Here is a 25,899-nt window from a genome sequence, read left to right as displayed (position 1 = left end):
AGTAAAACACTCCTCAGCAAATGTAAAAGAACAGAAATCATAACAAACTGTCTCTCAGACCACAGTGCAATCAAACTAGAACTCAGGGTTAAGAAACTCACTCAAAACCGCTCAACTACATGGAAACTGAACAACCTGCTCCTGAATGACTACTGGGTACATAACGAAATGAAGGCAGAAATAAAGATGTTCTTTGAAACCAATGAGAACAAAGACACAAAATACCAGACTCTCTGGGACACATACAAAACAGTGTGTAGAGGGAAATTTATAGCACTAAATGCCCACAAGAGAAAGCAGGAAAGATCTAAAATTGACACCCTAACATCACAATTAAAAGAACTAGAGAGGCAAGAGCAAACACATTCAAAAGCTAGAAGAAGGCAAGAAATAAGTAAGATCAGAGCAGCACTGAAGGAAATAGAGACACAAAAAGCCCTTCAAAAAATCAATGAATCCAGGAGCTGGTTTTTTGAAAAGATCAACAAAATTGATAGACCACTAGCAAGACTAATAAAGAAGAAAAGAGAGAAGAATCAAATAGACGCAATAAAAAATGACAAAGGAGATATCATCACTGATCCCACAGAAATACAAACTACCATCAGAGAATACTGTAAACACCTCTATGCAAATAAACTAGAAAATCTAGAAGAAATGGATAAATTCCTCGACACATAAATGGATAAGTTCCTCGACCCTCCCAAGACTAAACCAGGAAGAAGTTGAATCTCTGAGTAGACCAATAACAGGTTCTGAAATTGAGGCAATAATTAATAGCTTACCAACCAAAAAAAGTCCAGGACCAGATGGATTCACAGCTGAATTCTACCAGAGGTACAAGGAGGAGCTGGTACCATTCCTTCTGAAACTATTCCATTCAATAGAAAAAGAGGGAATCCTCCCTAAATCATTTTATGAGGCCAGCATCATCCTGATACCAAAGCCTGGCAGAGACACAACAAAAAGAGAGAATTTTAGACCAATATCCTTCGCAAAAATCCTCAATAAAATACTGGCAAACTGAATCCAGCAGCACATCAAAAAGCTTATCCACCATGATCAAGTGGGCTTCATCCCTGGGATGCAGGGCTGGTTCAACATACGAAAATCAGTAAACGTAATCCAGCATATAAATAGAACCAAAGACAAAAACCACATGATGATCTCAATAGATGCAGAAAAGGCCTTTGACAAAATTCAACAACCCTTCTTGCTAAAAACTCTCAATAAATTAGGTATTGATGGGACGTATCTCAAAATAATAAAAGCTATCTATGACAAACCCACAGCCAATATCATACTGAATGGCCAAAAACTGGAAGCATTCCCTTTGAAAACTGGCACAAGCCAAAGATGCCCTCTCGCATTACTCCTATTCAACATAGTGTTGGAAGTTCTGGTCAGGGCCATCAGGCAGAAGAAGGAAATAAACGGTATTCAATTAGGAAAAGAGGAAGTCAAATTGTCCCTGTTTGCAGATGACATGATTGTATATGTAGAAAACCCCATCTTCTCAGCCCAAAATCTCCTTAAGCTGATAGGCAACTTCAGCAAAGTCTCAAGATACAAAATTAATGTGCAAAAATCACAAGCATTCTTATACACCAATAACAGAGAAACAGGGAGCCAAATCATGAGTGAACTCCCATTCACAATGGCTTCAAAGAGAATAAAATACCTAGGAATCCAACTTACAAGGGACGTGAAGGACCTCTTCAAGGAGAACTACAAACCACTGCTCAATGAAATAAACGAGGATACAAACAAATGGAAGAACATTCCATGCTCGTGGGTAGGAAGAATCAATATCATGAAAGTGGCCATACTGCCCCAGGTAATTTATAGATTCAATGCCATCCCCATCAAGCTACCAATGACTTTCTTCACAGAACTGGAAAAAACTACTTTCAAGTTCATATGGAACCAAAAAAGAGCCTGCATTGCCAAGTCAATCCTAAGCCAAAAGAACAAAGCTGGAGGCATCACGCTACCTAACTCCAAACTATACTACAAGGCTACAGTAACCAAAACAGCATGGTACTGGTACCAAAACAGAGATATAGACCAATGGAACAGAACAGAGCCCTCAGAAATAATGCCACTTATCTACAACTATCTGATGTTTGACAAACCTGACATAAACAAGCAATGGGAAAAACATTTCCTATTTAATAAATGGTGCTGGGAAAACTGGCTAGCCATATGTAGAAAGCTGAAACTGGATCCCTTCCTTACACCTTATACAAAAATTAATTCAAGATGGATTAAAGACTTACATGTTAGACCTAAAGCCATAAAAACCCTAGAAGAAAACCTAGGCAATACCATTCAGGACGTAGGCATGGGCAAGGACTTCATGTCTAAAACACCAGAAGCAATGGCAACAAACGCCAAAATTGAGAAATGGGATCTAATTAAACTAAAGAGCTTCTGCACAGCAAAAGAAACTACCATCAGAGTGACCAGGCAACCTACAGAATGGAAGAAAAGTTTTGCAATCTACTCATCTGACAAAGGGCTAATATCCAGAATCTACAATGAACTCAAACAAATTTACAAGAAAAAAACAAACAACCCCATCAAAAAGTGGGCGAAGGATATGAGCAGACACTTCTCAAAAGAAGACATTTATGCAGCCAACGGACACATGAAAAAATGCTCATCATCACTGGCCATCAGAGAAATGCAAATCGAAACCACAATGAGATACCATCTCACACCAGTTAGAATGGCGATCATTAAAAAGTCAGGAAACAACAGGTGCTGGAGAGGATGTGGAGAAATAGGAACACTTTTACACTGTTGGTGGGACTGTAAACTAGTTCAACCATTGTGGAAGTCAGTGTGGCGATTCCTCAGGGATCTAGAACTAGAAATACCATTTGACCCAGCCATCCCATTACTGGGTATATACCCAAAGGACTATAAATCATGCTGCTATAAAGACACATGCACACGTATGTTTATTGAGGCACTATTCACAATAGCAAAGACTTGGAACCAACCCAAATGTCCAACGATGATAGACTGGATTAAGAAAATGTGGCGCATATATACCATGGAATACTATGCAGCCATAAAAAATGATGAGTTCATGTCCTTTGTAGGGACATGGATGAAACTGGAAACCATCATTCTCAGCAAACTATCACAAGGACAAAAAACCAAACACCGCATGTTCTCACTCATAGGTGGGAATTGAACAGTGAGAACACATGGACACAGGAAGGGGAACATCACACACTGGGGCCTGTTGTGGGGTGGGGGGAGGGGGTGAGGGATAGCATTAGGAGATATACCTAATGCTAAATGACAAGTTAATGGGTGCAGCACACCAACATGGCACATGTATACATATGTAACAAACCTGCATGTTGTGCACATGTACCCTAAAACTTAAAGTATAATAATAATAAAATAAAAAAAAAACAAATTTACAAGAAAAAAACCCAACAAAAAATGAGCAAAGGATATGAACAGACACTTCTCAAAAGAAGACCTTTATGCAACCAACAGACACATGAAATAATGCTCATCATCGCTGGTCATCAGATAAATGCAAATCAAAAGCACAGTGAATTACCATCTCACACCAGTTAGAATGGTGATCATGAAAAAGTCAGGAAACAACAGATGCTAGAGAGGATGTGGAGAAATATGCTTTTACACTGTTGGTGGGAGTGTAAATTAGTTCAACCATTGTGGAAGACAGTGTGGCAATTCCTCAAAGTTCTAGAACTAGAAATACCATTTGACCCAGTGGTCCCCTTACTGGGTATATACCCAAAGGGTTATAAATCATGCTACTATAAAGACACATGCACACATATAAACAATATGTTTATTGCAGCACTCTTCACAATAGCAAAGACTTGGAACCAACCTAAATGTCCATCAATGATAGACTGGATTAAGAAAATGTGGCACATATACCCCATGGAATACTGTGCAGCCATAAAAAAGTATGAGTTCATGTCCTTTGCAGGGGCATGGGTGAAGCTGGAAACCATCATTCTCAGCAAACCATCACAAGGACAGAAAACCAAATACCGCATGTTCTTACCTATAGGTGGGAATTGAACAATGAGAACACTTGGACACATGGCGAGGAAATCACACACTGGGGCTTGTCAGGGGATGGGGAGCTGGGGGATGGATAGCATTAGGGTGGGGGGAGGGGGGAGGGATAGCATTAGGAGATATACCTAATGTAAATGACGAGTTGATGGGTGCAGCAAACCAACATGGCACATACCTGTGTAACAAACCTGCATGTTGTGCACATGTACCCTAGAACTTAAAGTATAATAAAAAAATAAAAAATAAAGAGATAAGAGTAGTTTACACACCACAATTACACTGTTATAATACTTTGTGTTTTTCTGTGACCTCATTATTACCAATGAGTTTCGTACCTTCACATTATTTCTTATTGCTCATTCATGTCCTTTTCTTTGTAAATGAAGTATTCTCTTTGGAATTTCTTATAGGACAGGTCTGGCACTCATGACATCCCTCAGCTTTTGTTTGTGGGAAGGTCTGTGATTCTCCTTGGTGCTTAAAGGATATTTTTGCCTGATATACTATTGTAGAGTAAAAGTTGTTTTCCTTCAGCACTTTAAATATGTCATGCTGTTCTCCCCTGGAGTGTAGGTTTTCCACTGAAAAGTCTGCTCCTAGTGAAGCTCCATTGTATGTTGTGTTTCTTTTTTCTTGCTGCTCTTAAGATCTTTTCTTTATCCTTGAACTTTAAGACTTTGATTATTAAATGCCTTAAAGTAGTCTTTGGGTTAAATATTCTTGGTGTTCTATAACCTTCTTGTACTTGATATTGATATCTTTCTCTAGATTTGGGAAATTCCATGTTGTTATCCCTTTGAATAAACTTTCTGCCCCTGTCTTTTTCTCTACCTCCTGTTTAAGGCCAACAACCCTTAAGATTTGCCGTTTCGAAGCTATTTTCTAGATCTTGTAAACATGCTTCGTTGTTTTTTATTCTTTTTTCTTTGGTCTTCTCTATGTATTTTTAAATAACCTGTCTTCAAGCTCACTAATGCTTTCTTCTGCTAGATCAATTCTGCCATTAAAAGGCTCTGATGGATTCTTCAACGTGTCAGTTGCATTTTTCAACTCCAGAATTTCTTATTTCTTTTTAGTTATTTAAATTTCTTTGTAAAATTTACCAGACAGAATTCTGAATTTCTTCTCTGTGTTATTTTAAATTTCTTTGAATTTCCTCAAAACAGCTATTTTGCATTGTCTATCTAAAAGCTCATGTATCTCCGTTTCTCCAGGATTGGTCCCTGGTGCTTTACTTGGTTCATTTGGTGAGCCTGTTTGGTGCTCTACCCCTCTGTGGCTGAGCTGTTATGTTTTCCTGGATAGTACTGATGCTTGTAGATGTTTGTTGGTGTCTGGACTCTGAAGAGTTAGCTATTTCTTGTAAGTTTTGCACTCTGGGCTTGTTTGTACCTGTCCTTCTTAGGAAGACTTTCCAGGTATTTGAAAGGACTTGGGTGTTGTGATCTAAACTGTATCTTCATTAGGCGGCACCCAAAGCCCAGTAACACTGTAGTTCTTGCAGACTTATGGAGGTACCACCTTGGTGGTCTTAGATAAGATCTGAAAGAATTATCTGGATTACCAGGCAGAGACTCTTTTTCTTTTCCCTTACTTTCTCCCATACAAACAGAATCAATCTCAATCTCTCTCTCTCTCTCTCTCTCTCTCTCTCTCTCTCTCTCTCTCTCTCTCTCTCTCTCTCTCTCTCTCTCTCTCTCTCTCTCTTTCAGTTCTGAGTGGCCTGCAGCTGGGGGTGGGGTAACACAAGCACCTCTGTGGCCTCCAATTCCCAATACTGGGACTGTGCTTGGTCAGAACTAAAGCCAGCACAGCACTGGGTCTCACCCAAGGCTCATTGTAACTAATACCTGGCTATTGCCTGTGTTTTCTCAAGGCCCTAAGGCTCTGCAAACAACAGGTGATGAAGCCAACTAAGCTTATGTCCTTCCCTGCAGGGTGGCAAGTTCCCCCAGACCCTGGGCAGGTCCAGAGTGGCTGTCCATGAGCCAGGAATTAGAGTGAAAACCCTTAGCAGTTTACTTGGTTTTCTGTTGTACTGTGGCTGAGCTGGCACTCATACCATGGGACATAGTCCTTCCCACTCTTCTCTCTTCTTTCCACAGGCAGAGGAGCCTCACCCTGCGGCCACGGCCACCACAGGCCCATGGGGAATACTGCCAGGGTACCCACCAGTGTTCCTTTAAGGCCCAAGGGCTCTTCAGTCAGCTTATGGTAAATGCTGCCTGGGACTCACCCTTCAGGGCAGTGGACTCCTCTCTGGCCCAGGGCACATCCAGAAATGCTGTCCAAGAGCCAAGGCCTGGAATTAGGGACCCCCAAGAGCCTGCTTGGTGCTCTACCCTTCTGTGGCTGAGCTGGTATCTAAGGTGCAAGATAAAATCTCCTTTACATTTCCCTCACTTTTCTCAGGCAGAGAGTCTCTTCCCATAACCACCATAGCTGGGAATGTGCTGAGTGTCACTTGCAGCCAGTCTCAGAGTCTCACCCAAGGGCCATGGTATACTACCTGGTATCATTGCTGGTTATTTAGGGCCCAAGGGCTCTTTAATCAGCAGGTGATGAAACCTGCCAGGATTGGGTCTTCCTTCCCTTCAAGGCAGTGGGTTCCCTTCTGGCCCAGGGTGTGTCTAGAAACGTTGTCTGGGAGCCAGAGCCTTACTGCTCTTCCTGGTACCCTACCCTGCTGTGGCTGAGCTGGTATCCAAGATGGAAGACAATGTCCTCTTTAGTCTTTTCTCTCTTCTCCTCAAGCAAAAGGAAGGGGTCTCTTTTGGAGCCATGAGCTGTGCAGCCTGGGGTTGTGAGAGGGGTGGCACAAGCACTCCCTTAGCTGCCTTGGCTGGTGTCCCAGTAGGTCACATCCCCGCTCCCCGACACCACCCCGCCCTGCCCACCCCAAGTCCACTGGCTCTGAGCCCAGTTCAGCACTAGGACTCGCCTGGGAGTTACAGTCCTTGTAGCCTAGACTTTCAAGTTTATTTAGGGCCCCAGAGCATTTTATTCCATAGTGGCAAGGCTTGCTGGAACTCAAGTTCTGACTGTTGGAATGGGCGATTTCCCTTTGGCTAGGTCTGGTTTAAATACTCCCTCCATGGGTGGGCACCAGCTGAGTTCAGCCCAGATTTGCTTTCCACTTGACAGGGCAGCATTGAGTTCAGTGCAATGTCTCACAATCCCTTTACTCTCCTTCCAAATGCACAGATTCTGTCTACATGCCACAGGGCTGCTGTGGGGGGATGAAGGAGGTGTGGCATTGGTGATTCAAGACTGTCTTTCTTAACCTTTTCCAGTGCCTCTTTTAGCAACATGAAGTTAAAACCAGATACTATGAGTGCTCATCTGAATTTTGGTTCTTATGAAGGTGCTTTTTGTATGTAGATAGTTGTTAAATTGGTGTCCTTGCAGGGGCAATGATCAGTGGAGTCTTCTGTTCGGCCATCTTGCTTTGTCCTTCCTTATACATTTCTTAATTCAACAAATCCAGCTGTGTTTCAACCGTGTGCCAGGCTCTTCTACTAAGTGTTAAGAAATTCAGAAATGGTTGTTTTTCTTGCTGTCAAGGATTGTATGGTCTAGTAATAGAGATAAACAAATAAACAAGAAAGTACTTCTCAAGTAACTCCTGTTCAGACTTGCAATCTTAATTGCCAACATCAGTCATTAAATGTGGGAGTTTTTCAAAGTTAGTTCCTAGATTCTAATCTCTTTTTATCTTCTGCCTGATATATATAGGTGTCTTGTAATAGGCAGGATTTCCAGGTTTTCTCTTAACCTAGACTCTTCTCCTCTGAGGTTAAGACCATTATATGCAGCTGCCTTCTAGATATCTCCTCTTGGATATTTTAGAGGCATCTCAATTTAGTGTTCATTAATTTAGTTCATTCAGCAAATATTTATTAAGCACCTAAGTATGGCATAAACTGTTTTAGTTACCGGGAAACATGACAGTATCCTTGCCCTAATAGAACAAATGTTACATAGTGGAAAAAAAGATAATAAACAGATAAATAAATATATAACGTCAAATAGAAATAACAGTAACTAAGGAATATAAGGTAGGGTAAAGAGGTGTAACTAGGCATGCTATTTTAGATAGAGCAATCAGGATAGGCCTCTCTGAGGAGGTGAGAGCCTGAATAAAATTAGAGAGTCAGCCTTGTGGAAACCTGGGGGGCAGAGCATGCCAGGCAATGGGAACAATAAGTGAAAAAACCATGAGATGGGAATGTGCTTGGCATGTTTGAGGGAGAGGAAAGAGGTCAGTGTGGCTGGAGCACAGTGAGCAGGAAGATGAATGGTTGAAATTGTGGTCAGAGAGCTAACCAGGTTGTGTAAAGTGGAGCCTTGTATACTATTGTAAGGACTATGGATTTTATTCTAAATGTACTGAGAAATACATCTTAGATCATCTTAGAGCAGAGGGATGACATGATCAGATATATATTTTTTTATTTTACATTTTATTTCATTTTAAATGAATTTAAATAGCCCCATAGGTCGGTAGCTACAACACCTGACATTACCATTTTAGGATATTCATATATGTTGTAGTAAGATGGAAAATAATCTAAATATAAATCTGAGAAACTACTGTGTTTCACCTATTCTTTCTGCTTTGTCCATCACTCCAGAGGAGCAAGCTGTAAACTGGAGAAATTCCAAGCTTCCAAGAGCCCTTGAGTTCTATGTGTCTGGGTCCAGTGCATCTGTGGTCCTAAGGTTCTAAGAGGTGGTACTTTTCTAAGTTCCAAAGACTCAGATTATATATTTTAGAATTATCATTTTGGCTGTTATGTGGAGAATAGATTAAGAGGGCGAGAGTAGAAGCAAGGAGACCTTATTAAACTATTACAGTGATCAGATAATAGTGTTTTAAACCATGATGGTAGCAGTGGTCTGATTTGGAATATATTTTACAGGCAGATATACCAGGAATTTGTGATTAGGCTGGATATTAGGTAAGAGAAAAAAATAGAAGTCAAGGATGAATATTAAATTCTTGAGAAATTGGATGAATGATGGTACCATTTATTGAGATGGGAGCACTATAGGGCAGACCAAGTTGGGAGAATGGTTAAGATAATTTTTTTGGACATATCAAATTTGATCTGTCAGCCCATACACATTAAGTTTTGTGAAAGAACACACATGTATATACTATATAATTTCATATATATAAAGTTCAAGAACAGGCAAGACTCTTCTGGGTGACATGTCGAAACAGTGGTAGTCTTTGGAGAAAGGGTGCCAACGAGGAAAGAACACATAGAAAACTTCCCAGGTGCTGGAAATATTTTGTATCTTGATCTGGGTGGTAGATACATGGATGAATACATATATACCAAGATTGTGACTGTTATTATATATATGGTATACTTCAATAAAATCTTTAAAAACTGAAAGGCTTATTAGCTTTCAAGTGGAGATGTCATGAAGGCAGTTTATGATGCAGGAGTCTGGAGAACTCCAGACCAGAGGCTGGGGCTATGGATACGTATTTGGAGTCAGCAAAGAGATGTTTTGAAGCCATAGGATTTAATGAAATCATGTAGGAGGTAAAAATAATTTTTAAAAAACATACACAGTGAATGGAAATGGGACACTCCAACATTTAGAGGTAGGGAAAGGGAGAAATATCCGGCAAAAAAACCCTGAGACCTAGTGGCTTGTGCTGTAGTAGGAAAACCAGGAAAGAATGATGAAGCCAGGAGAGGAGAGTGTTTTAAGGAAGGAATGATACCAGCTATGACAAAAGTTATCAAGATTATGAAATCAAATGAGGATTGAGGACTAACAATTGTCACAGCCAAGACCTAACCTGGTCCTACACTATTATCCTCCATGTTGGTTAACAGATGTGGTTTAGCAAACCAGAAACCTGAAGGTTATCCTTAACACTTTCTTTTTTGTCATTTTTCAGGCTAATATCTAATCTATTTCCAAATCTTGGTATTAGTTTTATCTCCTACAGAGCTCTCAAACCCACCTGTTGCTTCTTACCCTCAAAGACCCATATGGCAGGAGTGATTAGTCTCTAGGATTAACAGATTTAGCAAATAAAGTTACAGAATACCCAGTTAAATTTGAATTCTAATAAACAGCAAATAATTTTTAAGATAAGTATGTCCTAAATATTGCTCATGCTTGTGCTATTAAATGTGATATACTAAAATATTATTCAGTGTTTATTTGAAATTCACATTTAACTGGGCATAGTGTATTTTATCTGGCAACCCTATTAGCCTCTGTAGTGAGGCTGAGGAATACATAAGAAATACACAGGTCATAAAAAGAAGGACTTTGTAATGGTACATTAAGGAGCTTGAGTTTAACTTGGGGGCAGTAGAAAGCCTTTGAAGAGTTTTAAGCAAACACTATTTGCATTTTAAGTATACAAGGATAATGGACTGCAGAGGGAGGTGAATTGAAATGCTATTGAAACCTAAAGAAAAATCTTTTGGTGCCTTAATTCAAGGTAGTATTGCTAAGAATAAAGAAAAGCTGGACCGGGTATCATGGCTTACGCCTGTAATCCCAGTGCTTTGGGAGGCCGAGGCAGGCGGATCACTTGAGGTCAGGAGTTTGAGACCAGCCTGGCCAACATGGTGAGACCCCCGTCTCTACTTAAAAAAAAAAAAAAATAGGCCGGGCACGTTGGCTCACGCCTGTAATCCCAACACTTTGAGAGGCCGAGGCGGGCAGATCACCTGAGGTCAGGAGTTTGAGACCAGCCTGGCCAACATGGTGAAACCCTGTCTCTACTAAAAAAAAAAAAAAAAAATACAAAAATTAGCCTGGTGTGGTGGCAGGCACCTGTAATCCCAGCTACTCGGGTGGCTGAGACAGGAGAATCGCTTGAACCCGGGAGGTAGGGGTTGCAGTGAGCCTAGATCGCGCCACTGCACTCCAGCCTGGGCAACAAAGAGCAAAACTCCGTCTCAAAAAAAATTGTATATATATTAGCTGGGCGTGGTGGTGTGTGCCTGTAATCTCAGCTACTTGGGAGGCTGAGGCAGGAGAATTGCTTGAACCCGAGAGGTGGAGTTTGCCGTGAGCCCGGATCACGCCACTGCCCTCCAGCCTGGGGAACAGAGTGAGACTCCATCTCAAAAAAAGAAAAAGAAAAGCTGAATATGCAATTTTAAATGCATATGATAGGCAAAATTGGCACATAGCAGACACTCAATAAATACTTGTTGCTTGGATTGAGTCCAGAGAGAGGAAAAGGGAAGACTCAAGACTGAAGAAGAGACATAAAAAGGAGCCAGGTTAGAAATGTTCCAGCCTGTTGTAGTAAGGTCCAGTGAGGTAGGACAGGAAAGGTTTCTGCTGATATTGGTGGAAGTGCAACTGGATACTTTGGATTTGGAAGTAAATAGGAGGAGAGGAAATAAAGTTGGTATATGTGGACAGATCTTTTAAGAAATTTGCCTGTGGGCAAGAGGAGATACAGGGGCTATAGCAGGAGGTGGATATGAGGTACAAGGAAAGTTTTTGATGAAACAGGCTTGAGAATGTTTAAAATGCTGATAGAAAAGTTGCAGTAAACAGGTACACTAAAAGCCGAGGCTTCGCCACTGTACAATTTTTCCATATAACCAAAAACCACTTGTACCCCTAAAGCTATTGAAATTTAAAAAAAGAAAAAAGAAAAAATTGTAGTAGAAAAAGAGCTTGAAAATGTGGAGAGTGGAAATGGTAGGATAATGAATGAAGAAGTATAATCACATGCGACTTTCCCTACTAACTGAAAAGAAAATATTTTACATATTTTTTATTTGCTTCTGTGAAACCTGGAGCTCTTAAGATAAGGATGTTTTTATTATTCAACATACATTAATTTTTCTTGTTTAATTATTGACAAAGGTGCAGTCATTAAAATCAGGGGTTTTACAAATATTATTTTGTTTTGTCAAATTTGAATTCTCTTGTCCTTTGGACTCATAGTTAATGACAGTTGAAATAAGTAGAATACTGAACTATGTTTTTATTTATAGATAATGCAGCTTGTGAGATTTTACTTGCTGAGAAAACTTGCCCTTCAACCCCTGAAAAAACAAAGAAAAAAGCAAGTATTGAAGCAGAATAACTACATAAATCATAATACATTTCATTAATAAAGAATATACTTTTAACTAACAGTTTAAATTTACTTTTTTTTTTTTTTTTAAGAAATGGGGTCTCATTCTGTCACCCAGGTTAGAGTTCAGTGCTGTGATCATAGCTCACTACAGCCTTGAACTTCTGGGCTCAAGCTGTTCTCCTGTTTCAACCCCCTGAGTAACTGGAACTACAGGCATGCATGCACTACCACGCCAAGCTAATTTTTAAATTTTTTTTGTAAAGATGGGGTATCACTAGTTGTCCAGGCTCATCTCAAACTCATGGCCTCAAGCGATCCTACCATCTCAGCCTCCCAAAGTCCTGGAATTACAGGCATGAGCCACTGTACCCAGCCTTAACCAATACTTTTTTTTTTGAGACAGAGTTTCACTCTGTCATCCAGGGTGGAGTGCAGTGGCATGATCTCGGCTCACTGCAAGCTCTGCCTCCTGGGTTCATGCCATTCTCCTGCCTCAGCCTCCCGAGTAGCTGGGACTACGGGTGCCTGCCACTAGGCCTGGATAATTTTTTGTATTTTTAGTAGAGACAGGGTTTCACTGTGTTAGCCAGGATGGACTCGATCTCCTGACCTCGTGATCCGCCCGCCTCGGCCTCCGAAAGTGCTGGGATTACAGGCGTGAGCCACCGCGCCCAGCCAACCAATACTTTTATAGGAATTCCTTTTCAGCTATTTAAGTCAATAATTAAAAGCATTTTGGGAGTTTATCAAATAGATTATTCAATTTATGGAAAAGCTATGCAGCTTATAAATGAGTATATACTCTATATAAGTTTAATGAAAGAGAATGAAAATGTATAGTAGTCCCCCCTCATCTGTGAGGGATACATCCCAAGACCCCCAGTGGATGTGGATAGTACTGAACCCTATATATACTACATGTTTTTGATCTGATAACTGAAACAGCTACTGAGTAACTAATGAGCGGATGGTATGTCTATCATGGATATGCTGGATAAAGGGATGATTGATCCTAGAGTGGACTGGACTGAGGGGGATGGCACACGATTTCATCATGCTACTCAGAATGGTGTGCAATTTAAAACTTACAGATTGTTTATTTCCAGAACTTTCCATTTTATATTTTGGATTGTGGTTGACCACAGGTAACTGAAACTGTGGTAGACAAAACTGTGGATGGGTGACTGGGGGGCAGGGTGCGGGGACCAGTGTGCTTTACATTTTTTCCAACTTTCCTTTGAATAATGCTGAAGATTACTTATGAATCATTACGTTAGGCATGGCATCGGGGTCTTTTTTTGTTTTCTTTTGTTTTTTTTGAAACAAGGTCTTCCTCTGTCACCCAGGCTGGAGTGCAGTGGCTCTCTCACCACTCACTGTAAACTTGACCTCCTCAGACTCAAATGATTCTCTTGCCTCAGCCTACCTAGTAGCTGGGACTACAGGCACACACTGCCACAAATGGCTAATTTTCATATTTTTGGTAGAGACAGGGTTTCAACATGTTGCTCAGGCTGGCCTTGAACTCCTGGGTTCAAGCGATCCACCCGCTTCAACCTCCCAAAGTGTTGGTACAGGTGTGAGCCATCATGCCCAGCTGGAATCTGGAGGCCTTTAGGGAAAAATTTGGACTTTATTTTGTATATAGCAAGAGCTACTTTTTGAGTAGCTTTCATTAATTATATATTTTGTTTATGGTATTCCAGGCAGGTTAGTAGTTAGTTTCTGTTTGTTTGTTTTTACCTACTTTTTTAATCATTAAAAAAAATTCAACTTTTTATTACATAATTTTGCTTTTTTTAAAAATTTTATTATTATTATACTTTAACTTGTAGGTACATGTGCACAATGTGCAGGTTTGTTACATATGTATACATGTGCCAGGTTGGTGTGCTGCACCCATTAACTCCTCATTTAGCATTAGGTATATCTCCTAATGCTATCCCTCGCCCCCTCCCCCCACCCCACAACAGGCCCCAGTGTGTGATGTTCCCCTTCCTGTGTCCATGTGTTCTCACTGTTCAATTCCCACCTATGAGTGAGAACATGCGGTGTTTGGTTTTTTGTCCTTGCGATAGTTTGCTGAGAATGATGGTTTCCAGTTTCATCCATGTCCCTACAAAGGACATGAACTCATCATTTTTTATGGCTGCATAGTATTCCATGGTATATATGCGCCACATTTTCTTAATCCAGTCTATCATCGTTGGACATTTGGGTTGGTTCCAAGTCTTTGCTATTGTGAATAGTGCCTCAATAAACATACGTGTGCATGTGTCTTTATAGCAGCATGATTTATAATCCTTTGGGTATATACCCAGTAATGGGATGGCTGGGTCAAATGGTATTTCTAGTTCTAGATCCCTGAGGAATCGCCACACTGACTTCCACAATGGTTGAACTAGTTTACAGTCCCACCAACAGTGTAAAAGTGTTCCTATTTCTCCACATCCTCTCCAGCACCTGTTGTTTCCTGACTTTTTAATGATCGCCATTCTAACTGGTGTGAGATGGTATCTCATTGTGGTTTTGATTTGCATTTCTCTGATGACCAGTGATGATGAGCATTTTTTCATGTGTCCGTTGGCCGCATAAATGTCTTCTTTTGAGAAGTGTCTGCTCATATCCTTCGCCCACTTTTTGATGGGGTTGTTTGTTTTTTTCTTGTAAATTTGTTTGAGTTCATTGTAGATTCTGGATATTAGCCCTTTGTCAGATGAGTAGATTGCAAAACTTTTCTTCCATTCTGTAGGTTGCCTGGTCACTCTGATGGTAGTTTCTTTTGCTGTGCCGAATCTCTTTAGTTTAATTAGATCCCATTTCTCAATTTTGGCGTTTGTTGCCATTGCTTCTGGTGTTTTAGACATGAAGTCCTTGCCCATGCCTACATCCTGAATGGTATTGCCTAGGTTTTCTTCTAGGGTTTTTATGGCTTTAGGTCTAACATGTAAGTCTTTAATCCATCTTGAATTAATTTTTGTATAAGGTGTAAGGAAGGGATCCATTTTCAGCTTTCTACATATGGCTAGCCAGTTTTCCCAGCACCATTTATTAAATAGCGAATCCTTTCCCCATTGCTTGTTTTTGTCAGGTTTGTCAAACATCAGGTAGTTGTAGATATGCGACATTATTTCTGAGTGCTGTGTTCTGTTCCATAGGTCTATATCTCTGTTTTGGTACCAGTACCATGCTGTTTTGGTTACTGTAGCCTGGTAGTATAGTTTGAAATCAGGTAGCATGATCCCTCCAGCTTTGTTCTTTTGGCTTAAGATTGACTTGGCGATGCGGGCTCTTTTTTGGTTCCGTATGAACTTGAAAGTAGTTTTTTCCAATTATGTGAAGAAAGTCATTGGTAGCTTGATGGGGATGGCATTGAATCTATAAATTACCTGGGGCAGTATGGCCATTTTCACGATATTGATTATTCCTACCCATGAGCATGGAATGTTCTTCCATTTGTTTGTATCCTCTTTTATTTCATTGAGCAGTGGTTTGTAGTTCTCCTTGAAGAGGTCCTTCACGTCCCTTGTAAGTTGGATTCCTAGGTATTTTATTCTCTTTGAAGCCATTGTGAATGGGAGTTCACTCATGATTTGGCTCTCTGTTTCTCTGTTATTGGTGTATAAGAATGCTTGTGATTTTTGTACATTGATTTTGTATCTTGAGACTTTGCTGAAGATGCCTATCAGCTTAAGGAGATTTTGGGCTGAGAAGATGGGGTTTTCTAGATACACAATCATGTCATCTGCAAACAGGGACAATTTGACTTCCTCTTTTCCTAATTGAATACCCTTTATTTCCTTCTCCTGGCTGATTGCCCTGGCCAGAACTTCCAACACTATGTTGAATCGGAGTGGTAAGAGAGGACATCCCTGTCTTGTGCCAGTTTTCAAAGGGAATGCTTCCAGTTTTTGGCCATTCAGTATGATATTGGCTGTGGGTTTGTCATAGATAGCTCTTATTATTTTGAGATACGTCCCATCAATACCTAATTTATTGAGAGTTTTTAGCATGAAGTGTTGTTGAATTTTGTTGAAGGCCTTTTCTGCATCTTTGAGATAATCATGTGGTTTTTGTCTTTGGTTCTGTTTATATGCTGGATTACATTTATTGATTTTCGTACGTTGAACCAGCCTTGCATCCCAGGGATGAAGCCCACTTGATCATGGTGGATAAGCTTTTTGTGTGCTGCTGGATTCAGTTTGCCAGTATTTTATTGAGGATTTTTGCATCAATGTTCATCAAGGATACTGGTCTAAAATTCCCTTTTTTTGTTGTGTCTCTGCCAGACTTTGGTATCAGGATGATGCTGGCCTCATAAAATGAGTTAGGGAGGATTCCCTCTTTTTCTATTGATTGGAATAGTTTCAGAAGGAATGGTACCAGCTCCTCCTTGTACCTCTGGTAGAATTCGGCTGTGAATCCATCTGGTCCTGGACTTTTTTCGTTGGTAAGCTATTGATTATTGCCTCAATTTCAGAGCCTGTTATTCGTCTATTCAGAGATTCAACTTCTTCCTGGTTTAGTCTTGGGACGATGTATGTGTCCAGGAATTTATCCATTTCTTCTAGATTTTCTAGTTTATTTGCGTAGAGGTGTTTATAGTATTCTCTGATGGTAGTTTGTATTTCTGTGGGATCGGTGGTGATATCCCCTTTATCATTTTCTATTGCATCTATTTGATTCTTCTCTCTTTTCTTCTTTATTAGTCTTGCTAGCGGTCTGTCAATTTTGTTGATCTTTTCAAAAAACCAGCTCCTGGATTCATTAATTTTTCGAAGGGTTTTTTTGTGTCTCTATTTCCTTCAGTTCTGCTCTGATCTTAGTTATTTCTTGCCTTCTGCTAGCTTTTGAATGTGTTTGCTCTGGCTTTTCTAGTTATTTTAATTGTGATGTTAGGGTGTCAATTTTAGATCTTTCCTGCTTTCTCTTGTGGGCATTTAGTGCTATAAATTTCCCTCTACACACTGCTTTGAATATGTCCCAGAGATTCTGGTATGTTGTGTCTTTGTTGTCGTTGGTTTCAAAGAACATCTTTATTTCTGCCTTGATTTCATTATTTACCCAGTAGTCATTCAGGAGCAGGTTGTTCAGTTTCCATGCAGTTGAGTGGTTTTGAGTGAGTTTCTTAATCATGAGTTCTAGTTTGATTGCACTGTGGTCTGAGAGACAGTTTGTTATAATTTCTGTTCTTTTACATTTGCTGAGGAGTGCTTTACTTCCAACTATGTGTTCAATTTTGGAATAGGTGTGGTGCTGAAAAGACTGTATATTCTGTTGATTTGGGGTGGAGATTTCTGTAGATGTCTATTAGGTCCGCTTGGTGCATAGCTGAGTTCAATTCCTCGGTATCCTTGTTAACTTTCTGTCTCATTGATCTGTCTAATGTTGACAGTGGGGTGTTAAAGTCTCCCATTATTATTGTGTGGGAGTCTAAGTCTCTTTGTAGGTCACTAAGGACTTGCTTTATGAATCTGGGTGCTCCTATATTGGGTGCATATATATTTAGGATAGTTAGTTCTTCTTGTTGAATTGATGCCTTTACCATTATGTAATGGCCTCCTTTGTCTCTTTTGATCTTTGTTGGTTTAAAGTCTGTTTTATCAGAGACTAGGATTACAACCCCTGCCTTTTTTTGTTTTCCATTTGCTTGGTAGATCTTCCTCCATCCCTTTATTTTGAGCCTATGTGTGTCTCTGCATGTGAGATGGGTTTCCTGAATACAGCACACTGATGGGTCTTGACTCGTTATCCAATTTGTCAGTCTGTGTCTTTTAATTGGAGCATTTAGTCCCTTTACATTCAAAGTTAATATTGTTATATGTGAATATGATCCTGTCATTATGATGTCAGCTGGCTATTTTGCTCGTTAGTTGATGCAGTTTCTTCCTAGCCTTGATGGTCTTTACAATTTGGCATGTTTTTGCAGTGGCTGGTACCAGTTGTTCCTTTCCATGTTTAGTGCTTCCTTCAGGAGCTCTTTTAGGGCAGGCCTGGTGGTGACAACATCTCTCAGCATTTGCTTGTCTGTAAAGGATTTTATTTCTCCTTCACTTATGAAGCTTAGTTTGGCTGGATATGAAATGCTGGGTTGAAAATTCTTTTCTTTAAGAATGTTGAATATTGGCCCCCACTCTCTTCTGGCTTGTAGAGTTTCTGCCGAGAGATCAGCTGTTAGTCTGATGGGCTTCCCTTTGTGGGTAACCCAACCTTTCTCTCTGGCTGCCCTTAACATTTTTTCCTTCATTTCACCCTTGGTGAATCTGACAATTATGTGTCTTGGAGTTGCTCTTCTCGAGGAGTATCTTTGTGGTGTTCTCTGTATTTCCTGAATGTGAATGTTGGCCTGCCTTGCTAGATTGGGGAAGTTCTCCTGGATAATATCCTGCAGAGTGTTTTCCAGCTTGGTTCCATTCTCCCCGTCACTTTCAGGTACACCAATCAGATGTTGATTTGGTCTTTTCACATAGTCACATATTTCTTGGAAGCCTTGTTCATTTCTTTTTATTATTTTTTCTCTAAACTTCTCTTCTCACTTCATTTCATTCATTTCGTCTTCCATCACTGATACCCTTTCTTCCAGTTGATTGCATCAGCTACTGAGGCTTGTGCATTCGTCACATAGTTCTCGTGCCGTGGTTTTCAGCTCCATCAGGTCTTTTAAGGACTTCTCTGCATTGGTTATTCTAGTTATCCATTCGTCTAATTTTTTTTCGAAGTTTTTAACTTCTTTGCCATTGGTTTGAACTTCCTCCTTTAGCTCGGAGTAGTTTGATCATCTGAAGCCTTCTTCTCTCAACTCGTCAAAGTCATTCTCCGTCCAGCTTTGTTCCGTTGCTGGTGAGGAGCTGCATTCCTTTGGAGGAGGAGAGGTGCTCTGATTTTTAGAGTTTCCAGTTTTTCTGCTCTGTTTTTTCCCCATCTTTGTGGTTTTATGTACCTTTGGTCTTTGATGATGGTGACGTACGGATGGGTTTTTGGGGTGGATGTCCTTCCTGTTTGTTAGTTTTCCTTCTAACAGTCAGGACCCTCAGCTGCAGGTCTGTTGGAGTTTGCTAGAGGTCCACTCCAGACCCTGTTTGCCTGGGTATCAGCAGTGGTGGCTGCAGAACATCGGATATTGGTGAACCGCAAATGCTGCTGCCTGATCGTTCCTCTGGAAGTTTTGTCTCAGAGGAGTACCCGGCTGTGTGAGGTGTCAGTCCGCCCCTACTGGGGGGTGCCTCCCAGTTAGGCTACTCGGAGGTCAGGGACCCACTTGAGGAGGCAGTCTACCCATTCTCAGATCTCAAGCTGCGTGCTGGGAGAACCACTACTCTCTTCAAAGCTGTCAGACAGGGACATTTAAGTCTGCAGAGGTCACTGCTGTCTTTTTGTTTGTCTGTGCCCTGTCCCCAGAGGTGGAGCCTACAGAGGCAGGCAGGCCTCCTTGAGCTGTGGTGGGCTCCACCCAGTTCGAGCTTCCCAGCCGCTTTGTTTACCTAATCAAGACTCGGGAATGGCGGGCGCCCCTCCCCCAGCCTCGCTGTCGCCTTGCAGTTTGATCTCAGTCTGCTATGCTAGCAATGAGCGAGACTCTGGGCGTAGGACCCTCTGAGCCATGTGCGGGATATAATCTCCTGGTGTGCCGTTTTTTAAGCCAGTTGGGAAAGTGCAGTATTAGGGTGGGAGTGACCCAATTTTCCAGGTGCCGTCTGTCACCCCTTTCTTTGACTAGGAAAGGGAATTCCCTGACCCCTTGTGCTTCCCGGGTGAGGTGATTCCTTGCCCTGCTTCGGCTTGCGCACGGTGCACTGCACCCACTGTCCGGCACCCACTATCTGGCACACCCCAGTGAGATGAACCGGGTACCTCAGTTGGAAATGCAGAAATCACCCGTCTTCTGCGTCGCTCATGCTGGGAGCTGTAGACCTGAGCTGTTCCTATTCGGCCATCTTGGCTCCTCCTTCTGTTTTTACCTATTTTATAGCTGAGAAAACTGAGGTTTAGATTTTCATCAGTTTCTTGAGGAGGTTGTGGCAGGTCTTTCCGGATCTAAAGCCTATACTCTTTCTACTACACTAGATTGTCACTGTAAGGAATTAGAGAGCAAATAGAAAAGGGGCAAGAGGGTGAATAGGGAGACCCATTAGTAGGGAGTTACAAAGATTTTTGGTGACCTATAGTGGTGGCTTTGACTAGGGTGTTTGATAGGAGAGATCAAGAAATAGGCATGTATTCAAGATAATTTTGCCTGTAGAGTTGATCGATAGGATACAAATGATGAAGGAATAAGAAATGTTAAGAAAGACTTCTGGGTTTCCGTTTTGAGCATCTTTAGTGGATAAAGATGCTATTTAGTGTGATAGGAAAGACAGGTGTTCTGAGAATGCATGAAGATGGAAATGTTGAGAAGGCCATTGGCTATCAATCTGGAGGTCAGGGGAACAGATGTACTGTATTATAATTTTTTTTTAAGTCGTGGAAACGGGCGAAATGTCCTAGGAAATAGTATCTATAGAGTAAGGAAGAGAAGTGGGCCCAGGTCAATCCCTGGAAAACTCCATCGTCAGGTTCAAAAGGAAGAGTGGTGGAGAAGAGGAGAAAAATAAACAGAACATAGTATCATAGAAATCAAGAGAGGAAATCATTTCACCCAGAAAAGGGGAAATGGTCAACAGTGTTGAATGCTGCTTGAAGGTCCAGTATTATAAAGACTTTTTTTGTGTGTGTGTCTATGTTATTTTTGATTATTTACATTAAAAATATTAATTATTATGAGTGCTTAATAGCTGTATGTCTTTATGGGGTACATGTGATGTTTTGATAAAGGCACACAAATGCATAATAATCAAATCAGGGTAAATGGGATATCCATCATCTCAAGAGTTTATTGTTTCTTTGTGTTAGGAAGGAATTTAAAAGTCAATTGTAGGACTTCCAGTTTCCAGTGCAGCAGTGTAAGAATCTTAGAAGTCATCACTTTGTCCTAACAACAAGTAAAGTGCTGAAAAAACTGAAAAGTCACCAGTTTTTCTTGAGTTCATCAGAGAAGTAAGGTCATAGAGAAAACTGCTGCACCAAATATTGAAGAGACAGACAGGAGGATACAGAGAATCACAACTTACCAAAACAGAAACCCATGAACAGAAACCTCCATGGGAACCATTGCCAGGGTAGGAAAACCTAAACAGTGTTGATGAATTGCTGGAGGCTGAATATGGACAAATCTGAGAGTCGTAGGTGGTCCCCCTGCCACTTTTGTGAGTTTTACTTCCAGGAGTTCTGCCATCAGGTCTTCATAGTAAATGTTAGAGTAAAATCCTCTCATGCTTCTAGCAGTGGGAAGAGAAAGGAACTATGTGAAACAGAATGCGAGAATATTCGGGTTTTTTTGTTTTTGTTTTTGTTTTTTGTAACAAGGCCTGGCCTCAGGAGAAAGTATTTTTCAGAACCTAACCTGCTGGGGGAACTATGTGGTAGACAAACTGGTTCTAAAGTTTATATGGAGAGGGAAAAGATACAGAATAGCCAACTCAATATTGAAGGAGAAAAAGTCAAAGGACTGATACTGCCTGTATTTAAGACTTACTGTAAAGGTGCAGTAATCAAGACAGTATGGGTTTGGTAAAAGAATAAACAAACAGATCGATGGAACAGAATAGAGAGAGAGCCCAGAAATAGACCCATATAAATATAGTCAACTGATCTTTGACAAAGGAGCAAAGGCAATATAATGGAGAAAAGTTGGTATTTTCTACAAATGGTGCTTGAATAACTGGACCCCCAAATGCAAAAACATGAACCTAGACACAGACCTTATACTCTTCACAAGAATTAATCACAATGGGTCATGGACCTAAATGTAAAATGCAAAACTGTAAACCTTCTAGAAGATAACATAGGATAAAATCTAGGTGACCTTGAGTATGGTGATGACTTTTTAGATACAATACCAAAGGCACAATTATAAAAGAAATAATTGATAACCTGGACTTCATTAAAATAAAAAAACTTTTGCTGTATGAAGGACAATGTCAAGATAATGAGATAACAAGCCACAGATTGGGAGACAATATTTGCAAAAGACATATCTGATAAAAGATTGTAAACCAACATAGACAAAGAAGCCTTAAAATTCAACAATAAGGGCCAGGCACAGTGGCTCATGCCTGTAATCCTGGCACTTTGGGAGGCCAAGGCAGGCAGATCACTTGAGCCCATGAATTTGAGACAAGCCTGGGCAACATTTTTTTTTTTTTTTTTGTAGAGACAGAATCCCTGTCGGGAGGCTGAGATGGGAGGATCGCATGAGCCTGGGAGGTTAAGGCTGCAGTGAGCCCTGACCACACCTCTGCACACTGCTGCCTAGGCAACAGAGTGATACCCTGTCTCAAAAAATAAAAACAACAACAACAACAAAACCAACCAAACAAAAACCCTCAAGAATAAGAAAATGAAAAACCCAGTGAAAAATGGGCCAAAGACCTGAACAGACACCTCACTAAAGAAGATATACAAAAGGCAATAGTTTATGAAAAGTTGTTCAACATCATATGTCATTAGGCAATTGGAATTGCAAATTAAAACAACAATGAGTGGCTGGGTGCTGTGGCTTATGCCTGTAATCCCAACATTTTGGGGGACTGAGGCAAGTGGATTGCCTTAGCCCAGGGTTCAAGACTAGCCTGGGCAACATGGCAAAACCCTGTCTCTACTAAAAAATATTAGCCTGGCATGGTGCTGCAGGCCTGTAGTCATAACTACTCTGGAAGTGAAGGTAGGAGGATCACCTGAATTTGGGAAGTCAAGGCTGCAATGAACTGTGATCATGCCACTGCTCTCCAGCCTGGGCAACAGAGTGAGACTCTGTTTCAAAAAAACCAGAAACAGCAACAGCGAGTTATTATTACACACCTATTAGAATGGCCAAAATCCAAAACACTGACAACACCAAATGCTGGAGGATGTGAAGCAATAGGAAATCTCATTCTTTGCTGCTGAGAATGCAAAATGATACAGTCACTTTGGAAAATGGTTTCATGATTTTTAAAAACTAAACATACTCATATATGATCCAGCAATTACATTCCTTAGTGTTTATGCAAATGAATTGAAAAATTGTATCCACACAAAGTATGCACCTGAACGTTTATAGCAACTGTTTTCATAATTTCCAAAACTTGGAAGCAACGAAAATGTTCTTCATTAGGTGAATGCATAAATAAACTGTGGTATATCCAGACAATGGAATATTATTTAGCACTGAAAAGGAATTAGGTATCCAGCAATGAAAAGACATGGAGGAAACTTAAATTCATATTACTAAGTGAAAGAAGTGACTGAAAAGGCTACATACTGTGTGATTCCAACCATATGATGTTCTGGAAAAGCAAAACTATGTTGACAATAAAAAGATTGGTGGTTGCCAGAGGTTAGGAGGAAGGGATGGATGAATAGGCAGATTACAGAGGAATTTTAAGACTGGGAAACTACTTTGTATGATATTAGAATGGTGGGTACATCTCATTATACATTTGTCAAAACCCACAGAATATACAACACCAAGAGTGAACCCAACCCTAAGGTAAACTGTGGACTTTTGAGATAATGATGTGTCAGTGTAGGTTCATTCATTATAATAAATAGACCACTATTGTATAGGATGTTGATAGCAGGAGAGGCTTTACATGTATGGGGACTGGGGATATATGAGAAGTCTATATTTTCTGCTCAAGTTTGCTGTGAATCCAAAACTGACCTAAAAAATAAAATTCATTAATTTTTTTTAAAAAGTCAGTTGAATTTGGAATCATGAAGGAAACTGGTGACTTTGGTAGGAAAAATTTTGGCAGACTAAAGAGAGGCAAACCAGATTAGAATGGGTTGAAGACCATGGAAAGTGAGGAAGTAACAGTTATTTATAGAGCTTGACTCTGAAGGGAAATAGAGAAAAATAATGGTAACTGGATGAATATGCAGGGTTATAGGAAGCTTTTTCTTTTAAGATGAGATATACTGTATCATTGTTGAGGACTAATGGGAATGAAGAAGGGGAGGAAGAGAGGATAGCTAAATTTAACTCAATAGGCAACTAGAATTCTCTGTGGCCTAGAGATCTAATTGAACTTGGCCTGAATTTCACTTCTTTAGCCAAAAGCAATAAAAAAACTTCCCCATCCTTTCTACATTTTCTTTTCTTCACTTCCTCATGATTACCTGTCCTTCTCCTGCTTCCATGCATACTGTCAGTTCCATGAATTCTCCCTTGCTCTCTCACCTTCCCTCCCTCCTGGGGCTGAAGAGGCAGCCACAGACAGCAATCCTATTCCCTCACCCCCACAGAGGGGCAACTGTGCATTCTCACACACTCCAAAGACAAATTCCACTGCCTGCTCTAGGCCAAGGCTCAGATGAAGCCAGTCCCTTTCAGTTTCCTGCCTATGGCTGTTCCCGGGGGAAGCAACCCCACTCTTCCCAGTTGCAGGGCCACAGCACAGCTGCTGCTGCCTCCACCTGAGCATTCTGCCAATGGCCACAGGGTCATTCTGCCCCTGCATGCCACCGCCAGCATCTTTACACACCATGAGGGGGCCTAAAGGCACAACCTAGCTTGGCTCTACCTCCCCTAGTACCCAAGGACACTATCCAGGGGTCTGAAGATCACCCAGCCCGGTACACCATTGGTTGCACCTGAGCACTCTTCCCAGGGTCTGAGATCAGGCTCAATCAACCTGCCACTACCACCACAGCTGGCATTCACCAGCATGTGCCACTTGCAGATCTGGAAACCAGCCTGCCCAACCCATTGTAGCCATGCCAACACCAACACAGTTGACTGAGTTCCAGTGGATTTTCCTACCACTGCTACTGCCATTGGCCATGCCATGCACACTCCACAAGGACTCTAGAATTCACCCACCTGCACAGCCTACTGCTGCCATACCTGGCACACAAGCAAGACACCTAGAGGCCCAAGAATTGGCTACCTGGATCCACTAACACCAATGCCAGGTTGTGCTGCCTTGGGGACCAAGGACAGGCATGCTTAACATACCACTGCTGCCACTGAGGCCTGAAGACCAGTCTACTTGGCATCCCAGTCCCCAGCAAAACTTCATCATAGCCTCCACTAACAACCACATGCTAAGCCACCAAGGAAATCACAGATAACACTGATGCTGTTTACAGCCAAAGAAATCATACAAAGACAGTAATACTGCATATGCCCAGAATCAGAGCAAATGTGCTCTAGCCTACCAACACATATGCACATACACACATCTTCAGAAAAATGTGCCCCTGATGAAAGCAAATTCAAAAAAATTGGAAAAAGCAGCTGTAACACCAGATGCACAGATATCAATGTAAGGACACAGGAAACTTGAAAAAGCAAGGAAATATGACACCTGCAAAGGTACACAATAATTCTCCAGCAACAGATCCTAATACAAAAGAAATTCATGGCCGGGTGCAGTGGCTCATGCCTGTAATCCCGGCACTTTGGGAGGCCCAGGTGGGCGGAACACAAGGTCAGGAGATCGAGACCATTCTGGCTAACATGGTGAAACCCTGTCTCTACTAAAAATACAAAAAATTAGCCGGGCATGGTGGCGCATGCCTGCAGTCCCAGCTACTCGGGAGGCTGAGGCAGGAGAATGGCATGAACCGAGGAGGCGGAGCTTGCAGTGAGTGGAGATTGTGCCACTGCACTCCAGCCTGGGCGTCAGAGCATGACTCCATCTAAAAAA

At 41.1% G+C, this 25,899-nt stretch overlaps 1 protein-coding gene across 1 annotated transcript in view; it reads left to right on the top strand.

Moving 5' to 3' along the window:
• MEIKIN (meiotic kinetochore factor) overlaps positions 1-25,899 on the top strand; it is a 138,674-nt gene that overhangs the window by 54,532 nt on the left and 58,243 nt on the right. Inside the window, exon 9 of the mRNA NM_001303622.2 lies at positions 12,084-12,154. Coding sequence (NP_001290551.1) covers positions 12,084-12,154 — 71 coding nt within the window. The remainder of the gene's footprint in view (positions 1-12,083; positions 12,155-25,899) is intronic.

This window comes from Homo sapiens, chromosome 5 (assembly GCF_000001405.40).
Source record: "Homo sapiens chromosome 5, GRCh38.p14 Primary Assembly".
NCBI lineage: Eukaryota > Metazoa > Chordata > Mammalia > Primates > Hominidae > Homo > Homo sapiens.
The sequence above is the reverse complement of the archived record's forward strand: the minus strand, read 5'-3'. Positions and strand labels throughout refer to the sequence as shown.